The following is a 9378-nucleotide window of genomic DNA, read 5'->3' as shown; positions in this document are numbered from 1 at the left end:
GTAATACCTGTATTACTTTTGCCCACCCATGAAGGGCACTTGATTTTATTTCAAGCCCTGGCTTTTAGACGTACCTTAGCATTTTGTGAGTTGTAATTAAAATCCCAACCTCTTCCTAGGAATACAACCATAATCTCCTAAACTCTGTCCTCACCTCCAACACAGTCCTTTTGGCTTTCAAGAACTATCCACAATCAGGCTCAGATGTGCTTTTCCTTTGTTATGTAATCAGATGAATCTGAAAGTGGAAAGTTACATGTATTAAAGTGAGGAGATGGGTAGAGGAAGGTGGAAATGAAGAAAAAGAACAAATCTGAAAGGAATCAGAGAAACTGTATTCTGATACTATTGTTTAGATTTCTAAAGGAAATGGAAAGATGTTTGGCAATGAGAGAAGTCAGTTATGATTTTTAGAAGATGGTTGTTTTCTTCAGCATTTAAAACTGTTTTTGCTTTGATATAATTTTGAAGACGATTATAAAGCTTGGGACCTTCGTAAAAGTGAACTTTATAAGCCAGAACGAACTTACCACCCCCCTACTGTGAAATTTGGAAATTCAACTACATTCCAGGATGACTTTGTTCCTCAGGAGATAAAGCCTAGGCAAAGCTTTAAACCCTTCTCTGTGGTCAAACGTTCTACAGCCCCTTTTAATGGTATTACAAGTAATCGCCTTGATTATATACCTCATCAGCTTGAACTCAAGTTTGAAAGGCCAAAAGAAGTTTACAAACCAACTGACCAACGCTTTGAGGATTTCACAACTCACCGGTATGACTTTTGGGGTCTTATTTGGTGAAACTGCAAAACTCTGCAGACCTGTACACACCAGAGTGACCCAGAATGCTCGGTTTGAAGGAAGCACTGAATTCCGTGAAAGTTTTCAACCATGGGAAATCCCACGACCGGAGGTCAAGAAAGTACCAGAGTATGTGCCTCCTACAGGTAGCATGCTGTTAAACAGCACAAGCCATCTTGACTATGTTCCGTATCAGGCCAACCGTGTTGTTCCCATCAGGCCAGTTTCTCGTAGAAGAAGTAACAGTTTTCCTTTCCAAGGAAAAAGCACCATGAAAGATTTTCCAGCATGGGAAAGTTGTCGTCAAGGACTTATTAAGAAGCAGCAGCAGATTCCCAACCCATCTGGAAAATTTGATGGTTTGAGCACTTTCAGATCTCACTATTTGCAACATGAATTGATTCCAACAGAGAGTTGCAAACCTTTAAATATTGCTTTTAAGAGTTCTGTTCCATTTGATGATGTAACCATGTACTCTGTAGAGTACACACCGAAAAAACAGGAAATTTGCCCAGCTAGCTATCCCTCTCCTCCAGGTTATATTTTTGAAAATACAAATTCCCAAGGTCATAAATTCTTCTGCAAGATTACTCCCGCAGTGAAGGCCTTCTAATAACCAAATTGTGCTTAAAAGGAAGCTACTAATAAGTTGTTGGTTTTCCAAGAGAAAACTCAATTTTTGTAGTGAAAAAAATTTATGATATAATAAATCTTTTTTGTTTGTTTGTTTTTGAGAGGGAGTCTCGCTCTGTTGCCCAGGCTGGAGTGCAGTGGTGCAATCTCAGCTCACTGCAAGCTCCGCCTCCTGGGTTCATGCCATTCTTCTGCCTCAGCCTCCCGAGTAGCTGGGACTACAGGTGCCCGCCACCACACACGGCTAATTTTTTGTATTTTTAGTAGAGATGGGGTTTCACTGTGTTAGCCAGGATGGTCTCAATCTCCTGACCTCGTGATCTGCCCGCCTTGGCCTCCCAAAGTGCTGGGTTAACAGGCATGAGCCACTGCACCCGGCCGATATAATAAATCATTTTTTATATTTTTAAACAAGAAAATTGGAAAATGTATCATAAATCAGAATCTTAAAACCATTTTGTATTGATATTTTAACCAAGATTGTTCTTTAATATGCATTTTGGAAGGTTGAATAATATAGATTCCCATACGTACCATTTTAATACTCAACATACTGCTTAGTAGCTTGTCCCCAGTCTATCATTTGTAATTCTGTTTATAATTATGGCAATTGTATGGTTATTCACATAGCAGCTGTCATTTATCAAGCACATCAGGATTATCTAGAACAACATTGAAAATGATACATGGATTCCTCTTCCAAGGCAACAGGATTCATTTTACTCAGACTTCACGGCATCTACATAGCATCCACTGAGTCAAGTTTTGGTTGGTGGTATACAGACTGCTGCACTGCTCCTCACCATGTTCAAGTTAGTAAGAGCCATTGTGGTGTGGCAAGGAAAGGCTCTGTGTGCTGGGAATCGAAGGACTTGAGTTCAAGTTCTGACTAATAATTATTATTATTTTTAGAGACAGGGTCTCACTGTCACCCATGCTGGAGTCCAGTGGCATGATCATGGCTTACTGCAGCCTCAGCCTCCTGAGCTCAAGTGATCCTCCTGCCTCAGCCTCCCAAGTAGCTGGGACTACAAGGGTGTGCCACCACACCCAGCTATTTTTTTAATATACTTTGTAGAGATAGGTTCTTGCTATATTGGCCAGGCTGCTTTTGAATCCTGCCTTGGCTTCCCAAAGCAGTGGGATTACAGGCATGAGACACTATACCCAGCCTAAGTTCAAGTTCTAATAATATAGATTTCTATTTGTACTACCTTAGGCAGTGACTCATATCTCTGAGACTCAGTGTCTTTGTTTGTAAAATGATGTCTGTTTTCAAAAACGTTTGTTTTGAGCATCAGACTATATGGTACATTTTAATCCTTAAAGTAAAAGTATAAATGTAGGGGATTGTTAAAAAAAATCACTCAGTCTCTTTTTGTACTTGTTTTCTCCTTTTCAAATTAGGATAATTACTTACCCAATCCTCATTTTCTGGCCTGTATCAAGGATTGTAAAATAACCTAATTTGTTTTGAGCTATGAGTAGTATGTGAGGAGTCTTGTCCTTTAAAACTTCATGAGCACCTGAGAAATTCTTAACAGAGAATGGAAAGCTTGGAATGGGGTAAATACAGTGGTTTGAATAACAGTATTTGCAGAAAGGAAAAAGTATTATTTGCTAGGGTAGTTTTAGGAAGACTGACAGCTCTGAAGAAATCTTTAGGGTAAATGTAGGTAATTTTGCACCTAATTGCCAGGCCAAGTCACTGTTTAGAGGAAGAACCAGCCCCAGCAGGGGGCATAATCACCTGGTTCACCTCTTCCGGTGTGAAGATAAGTGATAAGGTAAAGAATGATGCCAGTAAGTATAGTAGAAACACTCTATTGCATTTATAAATGCTAAAAATTTCTGAATGAATTAAACTCTTATTGGGTGGTTTCTTTTTTTAAAAAAATTAAATAATTGCATTATGGGAGAATATGATTTATTTTAGCATAAAGTGAATTTTAGTCTTTTATGGCTTCAGAATTATTTTAAAATGTATTTTATTGAAAATCATTAATATTTGGTTATTTTAATTGTTCAAAAGTAACTTGTTCTTATTTACATTTATTAGTAAAAGTATGGTGTGTGAAACTTTATATTTCTATGCAACATTAATAAAATCAATAAAAGGAACAGATTTTCAAGATTTCTGTACCTATTTTTTTTTAAAGACAGCATTTTAATAAAGTCCTGTCTAGGTTAACCTATACATAAGTAGATGTTCTTATTTTTAAATACAAAACAATAATGTATAACCAGAATTAAAAATAAGGAAATACTACAGCACTCTGTCATCCCGTCCCATATTCCGATGCTGGATATTCAAATCCCTTCATAATTTAATGGGGGTGGTCTCCTCCCTGGACAAAGGTCACCCTTAATAAGACATCTACTAGAGTTTCCAGAGGCAAATTGCCATCATAAGGATTGAAGATGAATAATGGCATTTCCCCATAATCTAACACTCAGTATAACAGGTGTGAAAATAATAGAGATTGAAACAGAGAACAATGTAAGACATTCAGCCTAGGAGTTCAGGAAAGTCTGCCTTAGGGAGAGGATAGACAGGTGAGCTGAATCTTGAAAGATAAGTAGGAAATTGCCAGATCAAGAAAAATGGGAAGGTGGGAACAGCATAAAAATAGTTACAGAGGGACCCTCTATCTCTGTGAAAGAGTTAAAGGGACTTCCAAGCTATGTTGGTGGAAAGCTAGCAATCCCTGAGTCATTCTCCTGTTAGGCCTCCTTGAAATACTATGCAGGAACACACACAAAAAAACATTTTAACAGGGCTGGAAACTAGTAATATTACTTAGCAATCTGCCAGATTCCACTACGCCAAACTTGGATAAATCTAATGAAGAAAGGAGGAAAATTCAGAGAGAAAAGTCGGTAGATTTCTACCCCAGCCCCATCCCATTCCCACCCTATCTCTCTGGAAACCCTTGTTGTGTAAAACGAGACCACAGACTGAAATTAGAAATAAAGGCTTTATGATTTATAAAAACTGCACAGACAATGTAAGGAGTGAACCCTAACCTACACTATGGACTTTGAGTGATAATGTGTCCATGTAAGTTCCTCAACTATAACAAATGTACCACTCTGGCTGGGGGTGTTGATAGTGAGGAAGGCTGTGCATGTGTGTGGGGAGGGGCATATAGGAACTCTGTACTTTCCACTCAGTTTTGCTGTGAACCTAAAACTGCTCAAATAAATAAAGTCTATTTTGAAAGTTTTCTTAAAAGCCCTTCAAGGCAGGAGGGAGGTGTTCAGTCAGAGGCTGGGAAACCCACATCCCAGCTTCTGAATATCTCACATTTGCAGGTTTGCTTCTATACAAAACTATAATCTAAGGCCTTCTCTGAGAATCGCTGTGTGAGAAGATCCTCATGATACTCAGGAAGCAGAGGGGAGACCTCTGAAAGTTAAACAGAGTCGAGGAAGTGAACCTTGCAATCATGAGTGAGTAACTTCAAAAACGCTGTTTAAAAACATGCTGATAACATGCTTTTGAAAGGGTTGCGGTGTCCAGTGAAACATCAGGACTCTTTCATTTTGTTCAGGTTTTTGCTTTTTTTCCCTGTCATTCAATGCTCTTTTGCATGCAAGTGCAGATTTTCACCCTGTATCAGACACAGGACTTTCATCAATACTATCCCTCCCCAGCCTTCTCATAAACACAGCACACAGCTTGATAGATGCTCTCTAGGGTGGCCAGGGGCATTTCTCCATCCCATCCAATATCTGTGTTAAAACTTCTTTTTCTTTTCTTTTTTTTTTTTTTTTTGAGATGGAGTCTTGCTGTGTCACCCAGGCTGGAGTGCAGTGGTGCGATCTCAGTTCACTGCAACCTCTGCCTCTTGGGTTCAAGCGATTCTCCTGCCTCAGCCCCAAGTAGCTGGGACTGCAGGTGCATGCCACCATGCTCGGCTAATTTTTGTACTGTTAGTAGAGATGGGGTTTTGCCATGTTGGTCAGGCTGGTCTCAAACTCCTGGCCTCAAGCAATCCAACTGCCTCGGCCTCCCAAAGTGCTGGGATTACAGGCGCGAGCCACCGCACGTGGCCAAGACTTCTTTAATTGTAGCCATCATGGAACTATAATGACTAAGAAGGAAATGTGGCTGGGAGTTGCTTACAGACAGTAAGCAAGCAATAGCAAAACCAAAGCAAACCAAACCCAACCACAAAAACATAGGTAAAAGTTCTAAACAGATACTTCACCAAAAAAGATATACAGATAGTGTCTTAATTTGCTAAGACTACTATGAAAAGTACACAAACAGGGTGGCTTAAACAATAGAAATGTATTATCTCTCAGTTCCAGAGACCACAGATCCCAAGATCAAGGTGTTGGCAGGGCTGGTTTTGAGGCTGTGTGGGAAAATCGGTTCTGTTTTTTTGTCCTAGCTTCTGGTGGTTTGCTGGTGATCTTTGGTGTTCTTTGGCTTGTAGAGCTCTGTCTTTATCCTCACACAGCATCCTCCCTGTGTGCATGCGTCTGTTTCCAAATTTCCCCTTTTTATAAGGACATCAGTCACATTGTATTAAGGCCCATCCTGATAACCTCACCTTAACTTGATCTTTTGCAATGACCCCATTTTCCAATAAGATTATATTCATAGGTAGTGAGGGTTAGAATTTCATTTTTGGAGGAGACACAATTCAACCAGAAAAGACAGTGAAGAAGCACATGAAAAGATGCTTAACATCAATAGTCATTATGGAAGTTCAAATTAAAACTGCACTAAGGTACCACTACATACCTACTGGAATGGCTTAAAGAAAAACAAAAACAAACAAAAAAACCACCGCACACACCAACCTGATAATACCACATACTAGCAAGGGTCTGGGACAACAGGAACACTCACATATTGTTCATTAGAATGAAAATGGTACAGCTACTTTGGAAATCAGTTTAACAGTTTCTTATAAACATGCACATATCATATGACCCAGCAAACTCACCTCTAGGTGTTCTTCAAAGAGAAGTGAAAATGTAGGTTTATGCAAAAATGTGTATATGAACGTTTATAGAACTTTATCTATAATCACCCCAAACTGGAAACAACCCACAGGTCTTTCAACTGGTAAATGAGTGAACATCTATCCATATATAAAGCCAGTTCAAGGAACAAACAACATTTTGTTGTTTCAACATTTGTTGATTCACCCAACAGCATGCATGGAACTTAAATGTATTTTGGTAAGTGAAAAAAGCAAGACCCAAAAGACTACATGTTATATTATTCAATTTGTATAAATTTCTGGAAAAGGCAAAACTGTAGGGACAGAAAATAGTAAGTGATTGCTAGGGGTGGGGGTAGAAGCAATTGACTACAAAGAAGCAGGACAAAAGAATGTGGGGTGGAGTGGAACTAAGAAACTGGTGGTAGATATACAACTCTGCATTTGTCAAAACCATTAGAAACCACCAAGTTAATTTTACAGTATGTAAATTATGAAAACTGACACCCAGGATGTGGCATTGAGAAGAAAGGAGATTACCTAAGTGATTTTGGACAAGTGATCATATTGGCTACTATAAAGCTAAAGACAAAAATAATTGTATATGAACATTGTACTCTAGTTTTTAATTTTTTTCTCTGACAGAGGTATGTGTTATCAATTCTAAACTATGAGTATAATAAGGTTGAACTGAGAAAATATAGTGTAAATAATGAGAGCCAGGCTTCTATCAGAGAAATAAGTTACAAATAAGAAAAAGATGCAGACAGCACCATTCACAATAGCAAAGTTATGGAATCAACCAAATGCCCATCAATGATACTCTGGATAAAGAAAATGTCATACATATACACCATGGAATACTATGCAGCCATAAAAAGGAATGAGATCATGTTCTTTGCAGGGCCATGGATGGAGCTGGAAGTCCTTATCCTCAGCAAACTAATGCAGGAACATAAAACCAAATACTACATGTTCTCACTCATAAGTGGGAGCTGAAAAATGAAAACACATGGACACCGAGGGGAACAACACTTACTGGGGCCTGTCAGGGGAAGGCGGTGGGGGAGAGCATTAGGGAAAAGAGCTAATGCAGGCTGGGCTTAATAATTAGGTGGTGAGTCGATAGGTGCAGCAAACCACCATGGCACACGTTTACCTATGTAACAAACCTGCACATTCTGCACATGTACCCCGGAACTTAAAATAAAAAGATGCGGATTATAATGAACCCTATGGTGTTGAAATAGTGTGCAGGGTCTCAGTATGAATTCATAGATACACAAAAAAATAGATGTGTGTGTGTGTGCATTCACAGGTTGGTATATATGCTCTGTATATATAGGCAGTTTAATCAGAGATGGAAATTGTAAGAAAGAACCAAAAAGAAATGCTATAGATTAAAAACACTGTAACAAAAATGAAGAATGCCTTTGACAGGCTTATTAGTAAACTGGATTCTGCTGAGGAAAGACATCTCTGAGCTTGAGAATATCTCATGGAAATCACCAAAACTGAAAAGCAGAAAAAGACTGAAAAAAATACAGAGTATGCAAGAACTGTGAGACAACTGCAAAAGATGTAACATACATGTGATGGGAATTCCAGAAGCAGAAGAGAAAGAAACAGGAGAAATAGTTGAAGCAATAATGGCTGAGAATTTCTCTCAATGTGAGACACCAAACCACAGATCCAGGAAGCTCAGAAAACATCAAGCAGGATAAATGCCTACAGAAAAACTACATGTAGCCACCTAAGTTACAAACTATGAAAAAAAAATTAAAAGATGACGAGAATATTCTGAAGGAACCCAGAAGAAAAAAAAAACCACCTTACCTATAGACAAGTCAAGATAAGAATTACATCTAACTTCTCAGAAATTGCGTAAGCGAGAGGAGAGTGGAGTGAAATATTTAAAGTGTTGAGAGAGGGGAAAAAAAAGCATCACCAACCTAGAATTCTATATTCTGTGAAATTACTCTTCATAAGTGAAGGAGAAATAAAGACTTTCTCAAACAAAAATTGAGGGAATTCGTTGCCAGTAAACCTGCCTTGAAAGAAATGTTAAAGAAAAGTTCCTTGGGAAGAAGGAAAATGATACATGTCAGTAACTTGGATGTATATCAAGAAAGGAAGAGCATTGGAATAAGAATAAGTGAAGATAAAATGAAAACTTTTATTGTTCTTCTTAATTTATTTATAATCAAATATTATTGCTAATTATTATTTTGAATAAACGATCTGTTTCAATAGAAGCACACTTTAACACATTTTTTTTCTTTATTATACTTTAAGTTTTAGGGTACATGTGCACAACGTGCAGGTTAGTTACATAGGTATACATGTGTCGTGTTGGTGTGCTGCACCCATTAATTCATCATTTAACATTAGGTATATCTCCTAATGCTATCCCTCCCACCTCCCCCCACCCCACAACAGGCCCCGGTGTGTGATGCTCCCCTTCCTGTGTCCATGTGTTCTCATTGTTCAATTCCCACCTATGAGTGAGAACATGCGACGTTTGGTTTTTTGTCCTTGTGATAGTTTGCTGAGAATGATGGTTTCCAGCTTCATCCATGTCCCTGCAAAGGACATGAACTCATCCTTTTTTATGGCTGCATAGTATTCCATGCTGTATATGTGCCACATTTTCTTAATCCAGCCTATCATTTGTTGGACATTTGGGTTGGTTCCCAGTCTTTGCTATGGTGAATAGTGCCGCAATAAACTTACATGTGCATGTGTCTTTATAGCAGCATGATTTATAATCCTTTGGGTATATACCCAGTAATGGGATTGCTGGGTCAAATGGTATTTCTAGTTCAAGATCCCTGAGGAATCGCCACACTGACTTCCACAATGGTTGAACTACAGTCCCACCAACAGTGTAAAAGTGTTCCTATTTCTCCACATCCTCTCCAGCACCTGTTGTTTCCTGACTTTTTAATGATTGCCATTCTAACTGGTGTGAGATGGTATCTCAC

General features: G+C 38.6%; 1 pseudogene; it reads left to right on the top strand.

Annotated features, from left to right (window-relative positions):
- On the top strand, window positions 470–1532 carry LOC642677 (stabilizer of axonemal microtubules 2 pseudogene; annotated as a pseudogene).

This window comes from Homo sapiens, chromosome 15 (genome assembly GCF_000001405.40).
Source record: "Homo sapiens chromosome 15, GRCh38.p14 Primary Assembly".
In the NCBI taxonomy this organism is placed as follows: Eukaryota; Metazoa; Chordata; class Mammalia; order Primates; family Hominidae; genus Homo; species Homo sapiens.
Note: the sequence above shows the minus strand (reverse complement) of the source record. Positions and strands in the feature narration are given on the sequence as shown.